Source organism: Homo sapiens, chromosome 9 (assembly GCF_000001405.40).
Source record: "Homo sapiens chromosome 9, GRCh38.p14 Primary Assembly".
In the NCBI taxonomy this organism is placed as follows: Eukaryota; Metazoa; Chordata; class Mammalia; order Primates; family Hominidae; genus Homo; species Homo sapiens.
The window spans coordinates 93148373-93165585 of NC_000009.12; the positions used below are offsets into that span (position 1 = coordinate 93148373).

General features: G+C 49.8%; 1 long non-coding RNA gene across 1 annotated transcript, besides 4 other annotated features; it reads left to right on the plus strand.

Annotated features, from left to right (window-relative positions):
- The first annotated feature begins 28 nt into the window (after positions 1-28).
- On the plus strand, positions 29-904 carry LOC124902213 (uncharacterized). Its single transcript, XR_007061667.1, has 2 exons — positions 29-58; positions 494-904. It is a non-coding gene; the product is annotated as an uncharacterized LOC124902213 (long non-coding RNA).
- Positions 3011-3511: an enhancer, noted in NCBI's record as "H3K4me1 hESC enhancer chr9:95913665-95914165 (GRCh37/hg19 assembly coordinates)". NCBI's record gives its function as "activates a minimal SCP1, AML or CMV promoter by ChIP-STARR-seq in primed H9 embryonic stem cells {active_cell/tissue: H9 hESC(primed)}" and the evidence as "EXISTENCE:reporter gene assay evidence [ECO:0000049][PMID:30033119]".
- Positions 8442-8491: an enhancer, noted in NCBI's record as "active region_28619". NCBI's record gives its function as "activates an Ori minimal core promoter by ATAC-STARR-seq in GM12878 lymphoblastoid cells {active_cell/tissue: GM12878}" and the evidence as "EXISTENCE:reporter gene assay evidence [ECO:0000049][PMID:35858748]".
- Positions 8532-8591: an enhancer, noted in NCBI's record as "active region_28620". NCBI's record gives its function as "activates an Ori minimal core promoter by ATAC-STARR-seq in GM12878 lymphoblastoid cells {active_cell/tissue: GM12878}" and the evidence as "EXISTENCE:reporter gene assay evidence [ECO:0000049][PMID:35858748]".
- Positions 11741-11870: a silencer, noted in NCBI's record as "silent region_20043". NCBI's record gives its function as "represses an Ori minimal core promoter by ATAC-STARR-seq in GM12878 lymphoblastoid cells {active_cell/tissue: GM12878}" and the evidence as "EXISTENCE:reporter gene assay evidence [ECO:0000049][PMID:35858748]".

The following is a 17213-nucleotide window of genomic DNA, read 5'->3' on the forward strand; positions in this document are numbered from 1 at the left end:
CACCTCCTGGGTTCAAGCGATTCTCCTGCCTCAGCCTCCCGAGTAGCTGGGATTACAGGTGCCCACCACCACGCCCAGCTAATTTGTGTATTTTTAGTAGAGACGGGTTTCACCATGCTGGCCTCGAACTCCTGACTTCAGGTGATCCACCTGCCTCGGCCTCCCAAAGTGCCGGGATTACAGGTGTGAGCCACTGTGCCTGGCATCCTTCTTTTTTTCTTCTGAAAACAACACTATAATGGCCATCCTCTCCTGGTATATAAATCTCTGCACACATACTTGAGTGATTTAAGAATTAATTGCCAGCCTCAGGATGGCCCCCAATGATCCTTGCTTCCGTATTCATAACCAGCATAGTCTCCCTTCCCAGTAAATCAGGGAGACTGCATGTGGCCAGTAAATTCCAGCAGAGGTAGATGGTGTGTGACGTCTAAGGCTGGGTCATAAAGCACACTGTGGCTTCAGACTTTCCCTTCTGGACTGCTCATTTTAGGGGAAGCCAGCCACCATGTCATAAGGACAAAGCAGCCCTGAGGAGAACCAATCCCTTGGGGAGGAACTCGGCCCCCAGTCAGCAGCCAATACCAACTTGCCCATGTGTGAGTTAGTCACCTTGAAAGTGGATCTGCTGTCCCAGCCAAGCCTTCAGATGAGACCACAGCTCTGGCCAACACCTGACTGCAGCCTCATGAGAGACCCAGAGAACCATCCTGTTGAGTCTCTCTTGAATTCTTGGCCCATAGAAATTGCTAGTGATAGTAAATTATTCTTGTTTTTTAAACCACTAAGTTTTAGGTTAATTTATTACACAGCAGGAATGATAACTTAAATGGTGACTATTTTGGTCAAAAGAGGCCAGGCTCTGCTACAGTATCAAATAAACCACACTTGATGGCTAATACAATAAGGTTTATTTCATACTCACTTACACCTGATGTGGGTAGGAGGGCTCTCCTGCTTGGCACGCAAGTCCCAGGGATGCAGAGTATTTTCACCTAGAAGCAGGTCACTTCTTCTCACATTCAGGTGGTGAGAAAGCTGTGTTATCACACCCAGGAGCATGGAGCCAAGAAACATAGTTTAGTTGTATGCCCCAGAATATAACTAAATAAACGTTTAGTATTGCCTCTGCCACAGTGAATCAAGAGAAATGAAAGTGACTACTATGTATTTGAAAAGTAAAAATTCCCAGAAGTACAGAAATGCATATTGAAACTGATTCATGATTTTTCACTTCCTGTGGAATAAACAAAACTCCCTTTTTGAAATCTGAGAATATCCAAACTTCCACAATTGCTACAGGATAAACACTTCCATATACAGCTGGTAGGAATAAGAATAGGCTTGACTTTTCCAGATGATAAAGTTGCAAGATTTATCCACAGCCTTTAAAATATTTATATTCCTTGACCCAAATAATTTTGCTTCTGGGAATCTATTATAGGGAGATATATATATATATATATATATATATATTTTTTTTTTTTTTTTTTTTTTTGAGACGGAGTCTTGCATGTCACCCAGGCTGGAATGCAGTGGTGCAATCTCGGCTTGCTGCAAGCTCCGCCTCCCAGGTTCACACCATTCTCCTGCCTCAGCCTCTTGAGTAGCTGGGACTACAGGCGCCCGCCACCACGCCTGGCTAATTTTTTGTATTTTTAGTAGAGATGAGGTTTCACTGTGTTAGCCAGGATGGTCTCTATCTCCTGACCTCGTGATCCCCCTGCCTCGGCCTCCCAAAGTGTTGGGATTACAGGCGTGAGCCACTGCGCCCAGCCAGGGAGATATTTTTTAATAAGATAAAAGCTTTATGCATAATTCACCATGGCATTATATGTAATAAGGAAAAGTTGTAGGCAACTTAGATGTATGCCAGAGAAAAGATAAATTACGGTACCGCCATATGATAGAATATGTGCAAGCATTACAGGAAGTACAGTGGAGCCCGTCAAAGCTGACTCTACAGCCTTTCTTGGAAAAGACTGCAGAGCTGAATAATCAGCAATGATGTAAATGCAGATACATAGGAAATAAACATTGAAATGTTACCAGTGGTGTCCTCTGGGTGATGGGATGAGATTTGCTTCCTCTGTGCCCTTGCCGTCCTTTCCCAGTTCCCCCAGGGGGCACATGGCACATTTGTAGCCCTGCTGGTCTTTCCCTGTCCATCTGTTTATTTGTTAGATAACAAAAATGCCCTTCTTCAGAGGACTTGCCTCTGGTGCAGTGCCATGTGTACTTCCTACATTATTATCATTATTATTATTTTGAGATGAGTCTCACTCTGTTGCCCAGGCTGGAGTGCAGTGGTGCGATCTCGGCTCACTGCAACCTCCACCTCCTGGGCTCAAGTGAGTCTCCTGCCTCAGCCTCCCAAGTAGCTGGGACTACAGACACCCGCCACCACGCCCGGCTAATTTTGTAGAGACGGGGTTTCACCATGTTGGTGAGGTTGAACTCCTGACCTCAGGTGATCCACCTGCCTCAGCCTCCCAAAGTGCTGGGATTACAGGCATGAGCCACTGCGCCCAGCACAGAGGTTCCTTTTGACTCAGTGTCCTGGATTGCAAATGAAGCAGGTGAGGCAGTAATAGTGGGGCCTCACAGTTGTGCCATGATGGGTCAGGACCGTGGGGTCTGAGTACGGAAAAGACTGAAGAACATAGAGTTCTTGGAAAGCTTCACAGAGGAGGACAAAAATAAGAGAGAGTGTGGAGAGAGAGAAAGAAGGGAGTAGGGAGAGGGAGGGAGGAAAAGGGGTGATGGGGACCGAGCCTCTCCCATTGCTCCCCGACCCCAGCACACCTGCATGGTCTGGTTGTCCCCTGAGGCCGCTGCCCACCTTCTTGCTGACTTTGCTAGGGCTACGGTGACCATGAGCTCCCTCTAGCAAGTAGAGCTGTCCACGACCAGTGCGCCCCCATCTGCAGTGATTGGCTTGGGCCCTTGTGACATGAGGGCTTGCTTCCCGCAGCCTTGCAACAGGTATCCTTGGCCAGGATTGGCCCCTTTCCACTCTCCCAGTGGCCGTTGGACATGAGTGTCCAGCTCCCCAACTAGGGTGGCAGTTCTGGCTTTGGTATAGGACACATCATCACCAAAGGCCAGTAACCACAACCATCACCCATCCCTGCACTCAGAGTTTGAGGTGGGGGCCACCCCTGGGGTGAGGCACCAGCTCGCAGAGGCCTTGGGGTCAGGTGGCAATGCTTGCCCCAGCGGGTTCTAACAGCTGCCCTCACTCCCTGGGACTCATTGCTGTCCTTGGGGTGTGGTGAAAGACAGGGAGCAATTACTGTCACTAGGATCTGCTTACAGTGTCTGCCCTTAACCCTGGTGTCCACAAGACTGTAGGACAGAGGAGTCAGAAGCTCTTTTCTCTGTTAAAAATTCTAAACATAGTAGAAAATAGCAGCATTTATTTCCCTCCTTTTTTCCCCTTGTTTCTGTGAATTTGCTTTAAACATAAATGTCAATTAAAGTGGACTCCGATTATCATTTTTCTTCCTTCTCTCCATACTGGGCTCATGTGCTGGCCCGCTTGGGAATGAGGGAGGCACCCATTCTTCCCAAGATGGATTCCAGAAGCAACATGAGGCCTCTGGTCGTGGAGATACGGAGGTAGGTGAAATGCTTGTACTTCATCTCCAGGTCAGGTGAGAGTGAATGTTTTAAAGGCAGCATCACAACTTATCACCAAATGTGTGTCCTCCCTCTGGTGTCCAGCCTGACCTTGGGAGATGGTGGCCAGAGAATTCATCCTTGGGCACGCTGCCAGAGTTGGGCCTCATCTCTGGGATGCTGTTGGCCTTCTCCTCAGGGTTGCTGCCTCCTGGTCACAATAGGGCTGCTTGAGGTCCAGACAGCATGTCTGTGTGAAGTCCAGGGAGAAACAGGGAGGAGATCACAAGCCACATGGGCCCCCTTTTCTCTTAAAAGCAAAGGCCCTAAATTTCCCCGGTAGACTGCACCTTAAGTTTCAGGGCCACCCTTATCTTTGAGGAAGGCTGGGAAATACGGAACTGAATTGGCCACATCTTGACCTGTCACCTGGACTGAATATGCTGTCCCCTGGGGCAGAGAATGGATATATCCAGTATCCATTCTTTCATTCTTTTTTTTCTTTTTGAGATGGAGTTTTGCTCTTGTTGCCCAGGCTGGAGTGCAATAGCACGATCTCAGCTCACCGCAACCTCTGCATCCCAGGTTCAAGCGATTCTCCTGCCTCAGCCTCCTGAGTAGCTGGGATTACAGGCGCCCACCATGACGCCTAGCTAATTTTTGTATTTTTAGTAAAGACTGTATTTTTAGTAGTTTCACCATGTTGGCCAGGCTGGTCTCGAACTCCTGACTGCAGGTAGCAGTGCTACCTGAAGTCCTACCCAGAGTGCTGGGATTACAGGCATGAGCCACCTTGCCCCACCACAAAATGTTTTTGAGGCTCATCCATATTGCTACCTGGATCAGCAATTCTGAAGTCCTTCTCCCTGCTAACCAGCACGCCACTGTTGGGATGCACCCCAGTGTGTTTATCCATGTACCTGGGGAATAGACGTTTGGGTTGTTCAGCTTTAGTTGTTACAAATAAATCTATTCCTTAAGACACTGGTGTGTAAGTACTTGTTTACTCAAACAAGTACTTCTCCTGAGTAAACAGAATTAAATTTCCACATTATATAGTAAATGTATGTTTAGTTTTATAAGAAACTGACAGACCATTTTCCAGAGTGGCTGTGTGTTCCATTTGCTCCGTGTCCTAACACTTGATATTTTCCGGGTTTTGAGATTTTAGCCATTATAATGTGTTTGAAGTAGTAACTCACTGAGGTTTTAGTTATCCGTTCCCTGGTGACTAATGGTATTGCACACAAATTCGTGTTCATTAGCTCTTCATATATTTTCTTTTCTTTTTTTTGAAATGGAGTCTCGCTCTGTTGCCCAGGTTGGAGTGCAGTGGTGCAATCTCGGCTCACTGCAAGCTCCGCCTCCCCAGGTTCACACCATTCTCCTGCCTCAGCCTCCTGAGTAGCTGGGACTACAGGCGCCTGCCACCACGCCCGGCTAACTTTTTGTATTTTTAGTAGAGACGGGGTTTCACCATGTTAGCCAGGATGGTCTCGATCTCCTGACCTCGTGATCCGCCTGCCTCAGCCTCCCAAAGTGCTGGGATTACAGGCATGATTCACTGCGCCCAGCCAGCTCTTCATATATTTTCTTTTGTGAAGGGTCTGTTCAGGTCTTTGGCTCATTTTAAAATTCAGGTCCATCTAAAAAAATTTTTGTTTTAATTAGCTGGGCATGGTGATGCATGTCTGTAGTCCCAGGTACTCAGGAGGCTGAGATGGGAGGATTCCTTGAGCCCAGGAGGTCAAGGCTGCATGCCGTGAGCTGTGATTGTACCTCTGCACTCTAGCCTGGGCAACAGAGAAAGATTGCATCTCTAAAAAATAATAATAAAATCCAGGTTATTCATTTTTTAGCATTGACTTTTAAAAGGAGTTCTTTATATATTATGGATATGTGGTTTTTTTTTTTTTTTGAGATGGAGTCTCACTCTGTCACCCAGGCTGGAGTGCGGTGATCCGATCTCGGCTCACTGTAACCTCTGTCTCCTGGGTTCAAGCGATTCTCCTGCCTCAGCCTCCTGAGTAGCTGGGACTACAGATGTGCACCACCACGCCCGGCTAATTTTTGTATTTTTAGTAGACACGGGTTTCACCATGTTGGCCAGGCTGGTCTCGAACTCCTGACTTCAGGTGATCCACCCCCCTCAGCCTCCCAAAGTGCTGGGATTACAGGCATGAGCCACCGTGCTGGGCCTGGATACATGTTCTTTTTCAGATATAGTTGTAAATATTTTTTCCAGTTCTATGTCTTGTCTATTATTTTCTTAATAGTGTCTTTTGATAAGCAGAAGGTTTAAATTTTTGAAGCCCACCTGGCCAAATTTTACGGTTATTTCTTTTGGCATCCTGTCCAAGAGGTCTCTTTTTTCCCCTAGGGTCACTGCATCAGTTCACTACCTCTGAGCTCCAAGTCACCCTTCAGTTCCTGCTCTGGGATAACATTTCTCCCTCCCAGTGAGTGCAGTGCCAGCCTTTTGGCAATAGAGGGCGCTGGGGGCACTGTAGGAGGAGGAAGGGGCTCTTCTGTGGACTCCCACAGCTGCAGGGCAGGTCCATGGTGTGGGGTGCTGGCCATGTACTCCAAATGCGCGTCCCCTTTCGACCCTGGCTGGTGACTACCTTTCCATCCCCTCTTGATCTGGAATTCCACATGCTCCAGGCCTGCCTACACCCAGACTCGCTGCATACCTGGCCGGCGGGGCCCCAGTTCCACAGTGCCTGCACCCCACCAGCAGCGGCTGCAGACTAGCCCGGGCCAGGCAAACCCGTGGACTTAGCAGCAGACAAAAGCACATCTAGAGGGCCTCAAATACACCTTCTCTGTGGAGGCCTCACTCCTTCCACATGGGCCTTCCTGGTGCCTCGCTCGGCCCTCGAGCACCTGAGTTTTCTTACATCTTCTCAGTGTGTTTCCTATCCCTGATGACACAGCCACAGAGATACTCCTCTATGTCTTCCTCTGGAAGCTTTAGGTCTGTGATCAATGTGACATGATTTTTCTTTTGCCATCTTAACTATGTTTTTTTTTTTTTTTTTGAGACAGAGTCTCGCTCTGTCGCCCAGGCTGGAGTGCAATGATGTGATCTTGGCTCGCTGCAACCTCTGCCTCCCGGGTTAAAGCGATTCTCCTGTCTGAGTAGCTACTCCTCCTGAGTAGCTGGGTCTACAGGCACGTGCCACCACGCCGAGATAATTTTTGTATTTTTAGTAGAGATGGGGTTTCGCTATGTTGGCCAGGCTGGCCTTGAACTCCTGACCCCAGGTGATCCACCCGCCTTGGCCTCCCAAAGTGCTAGGATTACAGGCATGAGCCACCGCGCCTGGCCTTAACCATGTTAAGTGTATAGTTCAGTAGTGTAAATATATCCAGATTTATGAAACAGACCTCTAGAGCTTTTTCATTATCCCAAACTGAAACTCTGTCCCCATTCAATGCTGACTCCCCATTCCTCCCTCCCCCAGGCCCTAGCAGCCGCCATCCGACTCTCTGTTTCTATGAATGCAACTCCTCTGGGTATCACATATACGTGGAATCATGCAGTATGTGTCCTTTTGTGATCAAGTTATTTCATTTAGCATAGTGGCCTCAAGGTTCATCCGTGTGTAGCATGTGCCAGAATGTCCTTCTTGTTGAGACTGAATAACATTCCATCATATGGAGACACCACATTTTGTTTATCTGCTCATCTGTTGCTGGACACTTGTGTTGCTTCCGTATCCTGGCTCTGTGGATAATGCTGCTGTGAACCTGGGTGTGCAGATAGAAGAAAATGTGTCAGTGAATGCGGCAGGTAGCAATAAGGAGATGACTTCCCAGTGCCTGCTCAGTGCTAACACGGGGCAGTGAGGCTCCGGGAGGTGATGGGGGAAGGGTGTCAATGGAGCCATCCAAAGCCAGCACATGGTGTTTAGGATTTAGAAGACAAGCAAACAAGTGCAGCGTGGCCTGAGGCTGTGCTTTTTCTGCGCTGGTCATGCTGGGACCCAAGAGGCATTGGTACTGTGCTATCCGCCTCCCTGCCTCCCCTCCACACTTTCTCTCACACGCCCCTCCCCTCTTAGTTGACTATAAACCTATTTTCACAAGTGTTCAGTGTGAGAAGGGCTCTTGACTAAGTTAAGGCTCAGGCACTGGGCTCGGAAGCGGCTGAGCGCCCAACCCCGTGTGTGGGACCGCTGCCTGCGCAGAGGGGGCAGCCCAGTGTGGGGCCTCCGCAGAACGTCACTTCAGCCTCTTTGTTCACTGGCATCTGTGGAGCCTTTTCCATTCTGGGCTGCCATCCCTTTGGCACCCAGAGGGCTTTCCTGACACCCAAACAGCAGATGGTCAGGAAATGAAGACTCACACTAACATCAACCAGAGGAAAATCTAATTCAATTGGTAGAATCTGCAGTCAGGGAAGCATGTGGCTGGACACATGTCATCTTCTTAGGGCAATGCCCTCTGCCAGTGGGACAGTAAGTGCTAGAAACCGTGGGTGGTGTGGCCTTCGAAGGCCAATGACCTACAACCAACAGCTGGGCAGGCCGGGGCTGGTGGGAGTTTATGTCCTCCTCTGGGTCAGCTTCTCTCCTAGGCTCACGGGAGTCCCTAGGCTTCAGGCCTGGGTTCCCTTCTCCCTGCTGCAGGTACGGGGTTACTGGGGGATGCTCAGCTGGAGCACCTGCCGTGAGCCAGGCCCTGCGCCAGGGGCTCTATATGCTTTGTCACTCAGGGCTAAGTGTCGCTATGAGTGACACAAACGGCAAAGTACCAGTTGCTTAAACAAGACAGTCATTTCTTTACTACACAAATGATGTCTGGAGGCATGCTGTACATGGCTGCGGTGGCAGCTCCACATTCTCAGACACCCATTTCCTCCCAGCTTCCTGCCCTGGCTTTCTCCACGTGTAGCCTCCACCTCATGACCTAAGATAGCTGCTTGAGTTCCAGTCATCAAGCTTGCATCCCAGCCAGCAGGAAGGAGGAAGGGAGGAAGAAAGGTGCGCTCTGACCCTCCAAGACACTTCTCAGAGCTTTCTGGACACTTTCACTCATGTGTCGTGGCCAGAACTTCACCAAGTGGCCATACCTAGCTACAACGGAAGCTGGGAGATGTAGTTTCTACTCCAGGCAACCATGTTCTCAACTAAAGTTCAGGGTTTCTATGCCTAAGGAAGAAAAAGAGAATGAATAGCGGAGGACACTTAGCCATCTCAGCTACACACACCTAATTTCTATAAGTTCTAGTAATATTTAAACGTTTAAACCTTATTTATATATTTTTGTTATAGACTAATCACACAGTATGAAATTCAAAATGGTGTATGGTTAACCTTTCCTTCCCTCTCCTATCCCCAAGGTGCCCAGTGCTACCAAAGGCCATCTAGGCCAGCAGCCCTCAAAGAGGATCCCAGGACCACAGTGCCAGCATCCTTGGAAACGTGTTGGAAATGCAGATTCTCAGGCCCTGGCCTCTTCCACCCCACTGATTTAGAAGGTCTGAGGGTGAGGCCAGGAGTCTATATTTTAGCAAGCCTGCTGGGGGCTCTGATGCCTGCTGACCATCCCCGGGTTGTGCGAAATCAGGCTGATACATCTATCTGTAGGTCTCCCTGGCCCCCATCTGCACCACTCTCACATTTCAGTGAACAACTTTCAGCACTGTTAGTTTTCCCCTTTCTATTCGTTTATTTATTTATTTTTATTTTATTTTATTTTTTGAGATGGAGTTTCACTTTGCTGCCCAGGGTATAGTGCAGTGGCAGGATCTCAGCTCACTGCAATCTCCACCTCCTGGGTTCAACAGATTCTCGTGCCTCAGCCTCCTGAGTAGCTGGGACTACAGGCGCCCGCCACCACGCCTGGCTAATTTTGTATTTTTAGTACAGACTGGGTTTCACCATGTTGGTCAGGCTGGTCTCGAACTCCTGACCTCAGGTGATCCGCCCCCAGGTGATCCGCCCCCTCTTGGCCTCCCAAAGTGCTGGGATCACAGGTGTGAGCCACCATGCCCGGCCTTCCCCTTCCTATTTATTTATTTATTTATATTTTTTGAGACAGGGTCTCACTTTTTCCACCCAGGCTGGAGTGCAGTGGTGTGATCATGGCTTACTGCAGCCTCAACCTCCTGGGCTCAAGGGATCCTCCTACTTCAGCCTCCCAAGTAGCTGGGACTATAGGCACACATCACCACGCCTGGCTAATTTTTGTATGTTTAGTAGATACGGGGTTTCCCCATGTTGGCCAGGCTGGTCTCAAACTCCTGGCTCAAGTGATCCACCTGCCTCGGCCTCCCAAAGTGCTGGGATTACAAGCGTGAGCCACTGCAGCTGGCCCCCACTTCCTTTTTAAACAGCTTTAGTAAGATATAATTCACATACCATACAATGCACCCGTTTAAAGTGTATGATTCAGTACTTTCTAGTATATTCACAGAGTGGTACATCTATCACCACAATTTTAGAACATTTTCATCATTCCTATTTATTTATTTATTTTTTTCGAGACAGAGTTTTGCTCTGTCACCCAGGCTGGAGTTCAGTGGCGTGATCTTGGCTCACGGCAGCCTCTGACTCCCGGGTTCAAGCAATTCTTCTGCCTCAGCCTCCCGAGTAGCTGGGACTACAGGTGTGCACCACCATGCCTGGCTAATTTTTGTATTTGTAGTAGAGATGGGGTTTCACCATGTTGTCCAGGCTGCTCTCGAACTGCTGATCTCAGGTGATCTGCCCTCCTTGGCCTCCCAAAGTGCTGGGATTACAGGTGTGAGCCACCACACCTGGCCGCTTTCTATTTTTAAATTTTGAATACTGATGTTTAACTGTTTACATTTTCAAAAGGCCTCCCAGCCATGCCTGTCCCCACTGCCCCACCCAGGCAGCCATGGTTATTTATGTATTTAGGTCTTCTGTTTCCTTCCAGAATGTCTTTTTGTAGATGTGTGAAGCAAACACAAACATAGGCTGTCTATCCACACGGATGGACAAGGGTAGGGGCCTTCTCTCAGTCCCGCACTTTGCTTCTGTCTGTGACTCTTCTGTTTGGTAACAGAACCACTAGGCAGGCCCCTGGAGGGTCGGGGGGCATCTTGGGCAATAGGTTCTGCTTGCAGCAGGAGCAGGACCACGAAGCTTCCAGTCCTTACAGTCAGACGTCAGCATGGGGCTGTGGGCTCCAGGAGAGTGACATTCCTTCTCCCATACTCCCCCAACAGATCCCCGACTCTAAACTCCAGAACCTGGCTCCTGGCTCCTGGGGGTCCTGCCTGGACTTCCCTATGGCTATTTTATTTTATTTGAGATAGGTCTCACTCTGTGACCTCTGGGTCTCACTCTGTGACCCAGGCTAGAGTACAGTGGCGCCATCTCGGCTCACTGCAACCTCCACCTCCCGGGTTCAAGCGATTCTCCTGCTTCAGCTTCCCAAGCAGCTGGGATTAGAGGCATGCACTACTACACCTGGCTAATTTTTGTATTTTTAGTAGAGATGGGGTTTCACCCTGTTGCCCAGGCTAGTCTCGAACTCCTGACCTCAAGTGATCCACCCGTCTCAGCCTCCCAAAGTGCTGGGATTACAGGCGTGAGCGACCGCGCCGAACTTCCCCTATGGCTCTTATTTGCTGTCTGTCTCCCAAGACTGTGAGCTCGCCAGAACATGGTCTCTGTTTCTCTTTATTGCCACGTGCCTGGGCTCAGCAGGGGGTCTGTATGAGGCACATCCTCACAAATGTTTGTTGAATGAATGAGTGAGTCAGTCAGTCAGTCCCTGTTCTAGAGTTTAGTAACCCTAGAACTTTGAGCACTCACTACATTTCCCTGAGCCTTGGTTTTTTCTGTTGAATGGGGATGAGAATCTTGACCTCACAGGGTGGGGGTAGCATGAAATGAGGAATGGCTGTGGTCTAGTGCTGGACCTGGACCAGGGAAGGGGAAATGTTTTCCTTTCCTTCCCTTCCTGGGAAAATGACAGTAGCCTTGAGCACAGATGCTGGTCTGTCAAGTTTATCATTTCTAACTCCCATGTTCTCAGAGCCCCTCATTAAGCCAGTCAGCCTTGATAACCAGCCCGCGCGGACAGGGAGGGAGGGCAGCAGGCGCGTCCCAGGACTGGGACGACAGGGTTGGCGATGCCTACAGCCGCCAGCAGGGGCCGCAGCGCACCTGGGCTCTGAGAGCAGGCCTGGTGTGGGAGGGGAAAGGAGGTGACCAGGGGCCCAGAGGGGAGGGGCAGGGCCTCGGCCAGAGTGTGGCGGTCTGGCCAAAAGATTGATGGCACAAGCAGCCAAAGAAAAAAAAATAGATCAACTGGATTTCATCAAAATTAAAAACTTTTGAGAAGACAACCCACAGAATGGGAAAAAATATTTGCAAGGATCTTATATCTGATAGGTGACCAGTATCCAGAATATAAAGAACTCTTTTTTTTTTTTGAGACGGAGTTTCGCTCCTGTTGCCCAGGCTGGATTGCAGTGGCGCGATCTCGCCTCACTGCAACCTCTGTCTCCTGAGTTCAAGCGATTCTCCTGCCCCAGCCTCACGAGTAGCTGGGATTACAGGCGCCCGCCACCATGCCTGGCCAATTTTTTTCATATTTTTATTGGAGACGGGGTTTCACCATGTTGGCCAGGCTGGTCTCGAACTTCTGACCTCAGGTGATCCACCCGCCTCGGCCTCCCAGAGTGCTGGGATAACAGGCGTAAACCACTGTGTCCAGCCCATAAAGAACTCTTAAAACTCAACAACAGAAAGACAAACAACCCAACTCACAACTGGGCAAATAATCTGAATAGACATTTCTCCAAAGGAGAGATACAAATGGAGAACGAATATGAGGAAGCTGCTTGACATCATCAGTCACCTAAGAAAAGCATACCAAAGCCACAGCACAATACTGCCCACACCCTCCAGTATGCCGACATTAAAACCAACAGGCAGGCCGGGTGCGTTGGCTCATGCCTGTAATCCCAGCACTTTGGGAGGCCAAGGCGGGCAGATCACAAGGTCGGCAGATCACAAGGTCAGGAGTTCAATACCAACCTGGCCAATATGGTGAAACCCCGTCTCTATTAAGAATACAAAAATTAGCCGAGTGTGGTGGCAGGTGCCTGTAGTCCCAGCTACTCAGGAGGCTGAGGCGGGAGAATCGCTTGAACCTGGGAGGCGGAGGTTGCAGTGAGCTGAGATTGTGACACTGTACTGCAGCCTGGACAACAGAGCGAGACTCTGTCTAAAACAAAACAAAACAAAAAAACAGGCATAGGGCAGGTGACATCCTCCAGTGTGCCGGCATTAAAACCAAAACCAACAGGCAGAGGGCAAGTGTTGGCGAGGACCTGCAGAAGCTGGAACCTCACACATTGCTGGTGGGAATGTAAAATGGTGCTGCCACAGTGGAAAACCATTTTGGAGGTTTCTCAAAAGGTTAAACATAGAATGATCTTTTGACGGCTGGGCACGGTGGCTCACACCTATAATCTCAGCACTTTGGGAGGCCGAGGTAGGTGGATCACCTGAGGTCAGGAGTTCGAGACCAGCCTAGGCAACATGGTGAAACCCGTCTCTACTAAAAATACAAAAATTAGCCAGGTGTGGTGGTGGTGCACGCCTGTAATCCCAGCTACCCGGGAGGCTGAGGCAGGAGAATCGCTTGAACCCGGGAGGTGGAGGTTGCAGTGAGCCGAGATCATGCCACTGCACACTCCAGCCTGGGTGACAGAGTGAGATTCCATCTCAAAAAAAAAAAAAGAATTACCTTTTGACCCAGTAATTCCACTTAGACATGTACAAAAACACAGTAGATGAGTGTTTATTGCAGCACTGTTCGCAATCACCAAAAAGTGGAGACAACTGAAATGTCTACCAGCTGGTGAATGGATGAACAAAATGTGATTTATCCATTCAGTGGAATATTATTCAGCTACAAGAAGCAATGAAGTGCTGATGCAGGCTAAACACAGATGACTTGGAAGCAGCTCAGACGAAAGAAGCCAGACACTGAAGGCCACATACTGTATGATTCCATTTATATGAGATGTGCCAAATTGGCAAGTCTATAGACAGGCAGTAGATTAGTGGTTGCCAGGGGCTGGTGAGGGGATGATGGGAAGTGACTGCTAATGAGTACAGGGTTTTTAGAGGTGATGAAAATCTTATGGACTTAGTGGTGATGGTCGCACAACTTTGTGAGTATACTAAATCACACTGAATTATATACTTTAAAAGGATGAAACTTATGCTATGTGAATTATATCTCGGTAAACTGTGCTGTTCAGCTTGAGAATTTTGTAGCGGATGGTTGGGCATTTCCCTGCAATGCTGGCCTCTTGGCAACCTCCAGGATGTTGTTACGCATTTCTGCCCAATTTCCAGAACTTTTGACCTTTCTAATTCATGTTCTCATTCATTCACCCCATGATTCTTTCTCTGGGCTGGAATGTAATGGCCGATCTGGTGGTCGGCAGTGTGTCCAGCGAGGCAGAGCTGAGGGGCCGGGCGGTGCAGGCAGAGGCAGGGCTATTCACTGTCCCAGGGCAGTGACATGACAGATGTGAATGCAGTAAGGCACCTCTGGGCAGACACCTGTCAGGGACTTGGGAGGGGCTTCCTGCATCCACTGGAGGTTAGACCTGACCATCCTGACTTTTTGTGTCATGTACAACTTATGCACATTTTCAAAACAATTCCAAAGTTACAAACAATATCTCTGAGTAAATTAACATATTCAACAGAATGACAAATTAATGTTGTGTTACAAGTGGCCCTGCTGCAGAACCATCCAAAGCTGTGTCCCTTTCAGTGAGCTGCTGGCAGGCCTGAGGGCCATGAGGAGGGGCATGGGCAGGCCTGGGGGTTTCTGCTGATCCCTGCCTGGAGTTGGGCCTCTCGGGAGGTTGCCTGGTGACCTGTGAGATGGGGTTGTGACTGGCAGGAACCCAGGTATGAACTAAGTGCCAAGTCATTCCAGCAGCCTCCCCTCATGTGGCACAGTGAGGACAGGGACCTTGGGCAGTGGTAATATGCCAACCCGGTCCCAGCATCCCTCACTGTCCAGGGTTTAGGAAGGGTGGACTCAGGAGTTTGGGGTCTTGGGTGCATAGAACTACAGTAGCTGATACAGCCTGGGCCACCAGCTCCAAGCCCTGCAGATATCCACTCTGCCCCCTCAGTGGCCTTGTGGGACCAGCAGTGCCATGACACCATTTGTAGACAGGAAACTGAGGCCCAGGAGGTGAGGTTGTGGCAGTGCCCCCAGACTAGAGCATCTCTTCCTCAGGCAGGTGTGGCCTGGGGTGGCCTTGGGTAGGACTTGAATGGAGGCCATCAGGCCCCCGGGGTCACACTTCCAGTGGCCACAGCCCCAGCACTCGTCTTGGGCTCAGGGGTTGCCTTCAGAGCCTAGTGGAGGCCTTGCTCATTGAAATCCCATCATGATTCACCTCCAGCGGCTCAGGCTCTGCTGAGGACTGGGGAGGCGCCCAGGGTCAGCTGGACACAGTTCTCATGCTAAGACCTGCTGGCAAGGGAGATGGTGACACTTTAATTGAAGGGCGATGGGCCAGGCGTGGTGGCACACACCTGTAATCCCAGCACTTTGGGAGGCCGAGGCGGGCAGATCACGAGGTAAGGAGATCGAGACCATCCTGGCTAACATGGTGAAACCCCATCCCCACTAAAAATACAAAAAACTAGCTGGGCACAGTGGTGGGTGCCTGTAGTCCCAGCTACTTGGGAGGCAGAGGCAGGAGAATGGCTTGAACCCAGGAGATGGAGCTTGCAGTGAGCCGAGATTGCACCACTGCACTCCAGCCTGGTGACAGAGCGAGACTCTGTGTCAAATAAATAAATAAATAAATAAATAAATAAATAAATAAAAATAAAAATAAAATAAAATTGGAGGGTGATTCAGGCAGGGCTGCAAGCACAGATGAAGGTCACCAGAGAGCCCTGCAGGAACCTCTTCTCTCTGCAGAGGTGACTTTTTAGTTGGGATCTGATTGAGGAGGCAGAACCCACAATTGAGTACTGAGGACAAGGGTGTCGGGAGCAGGGAGGGAGATAGATCCAAAGTCCACGGCTGGGCTCCTGGGGTCCTCGGTGCCCTGCCCTGCCATCCAGCTTCTCCCTGGACACTCTGGTGATAGGGCAGTGGAGACAGGGAAATGGGCCCAACTGAGTCGTGGAATGGCCAGGGCTGGGACAAGCCTTTTACACCACAGAGGCTCACCTTCCCCTTGGTAAGCCGCGATGATGGGACAAATTTCCGCCGCCGGGAGCCACCGGACACTGACTCTTCCCTACATCCCCAGGAGGAGGTGCCGGTGTTGTTTCTGCTTTCCAGTTACGGAGATGGCGGAGCCCAGGTTTGAGCTCAGTGGTGGGCAGGGAGCCTAGCTGTCTTGGCTATGGGAAGGTGCCATGTCCACACCATGCCACACATGAGCTGAGAGCAGGCTCGTGTTGCGGCTGAGGCTCTCCCCTTCCCACGGCCAGACATTTGGAGGCTGGGAGGCCTTGTCCTGACAGCCATGCCATCATTCAGGTGTCCCCACACTCAGGACTCATGTTGGAGCCCTGGGCCCTTACGGTGGGGCAGGAAGACGCCAGCCCCGGTGTGGGCAGTTGGCAGAAAAGCAATAAGAATGACCCCTGACCCGGCCAGTTGCGGTGGCTCACTCCTGTAATCCCAGCACTTTGGGAAGCTGAGGCGGGTGGATCACCTGAGGTCAGGAGTTCAAGACCAGCCTGACCAACATGGTGAAACCCTGTCTCTACTAAAAATACAGAAAATTAGCCAGGCTTGGTGGTGGTTGCCTGTAATCCCAGCTACTTGGGAGGCTGGGGCAGGAGGATCACTTGAACCCAGGAGGCGGAGGTTGCAGTGAGCCAAGATAGCACCACTGTGCTCCAGCCTGGGCGACGAGAGTGAGACTCCATCTCAAAAAAAATAAAATAAAATAAAAAAAAGAATGGCCCCTGACCCGTGGGAAGACTGCTGAGCCTCCCTTGTAACAAGAGACATGGAAATTACTGGTCTTCTCCTAATCTCAAAGTCAATTAACACTCTCCATAGGAGAGGCTGCAGAATGGACACTCCCCTGCCTCAGCTGCAGGGAGTGTGAATTGGTACAGTCTCTCTTGAGTGCAATCTGACAAAAGCTATCAAAATTACAAATGCATAAACTTTTTGACCCAGTAACTTCACTTCTAGGAATTCATCCTACAGAGGGGCATGACATGAGCAAGTCACAGGCTCATTGCAGCCTTATTTGCAAAAGCAGAATGGGCTGGTTACATAAACCATGATCCCTCTGGCCAGGGGGAATGCTACACAGCTGTCAAAAAGAACAAGGACCCCTCATGTAGACTGTGTAGAAGATCTCTGAAGCATAGTGTTAGGCTGAGAAGGAAGTACTGAGCGGCGGCTTCCGCACGCTCTTCCGGTGTGAACAAACGAGGAAAATTAAGCACCTGCACTCTTGTTTGTGTGTAAACTCCAGAAATGAGAGATGGGGTTGTCTGTAAGTGGATGTGTGGTGGGGAATCAGGTAAGGGGTGTGAGAGAGGCTTTATCTTTTATACCTGTTTATACTTTTTTTTTTTCTTTGA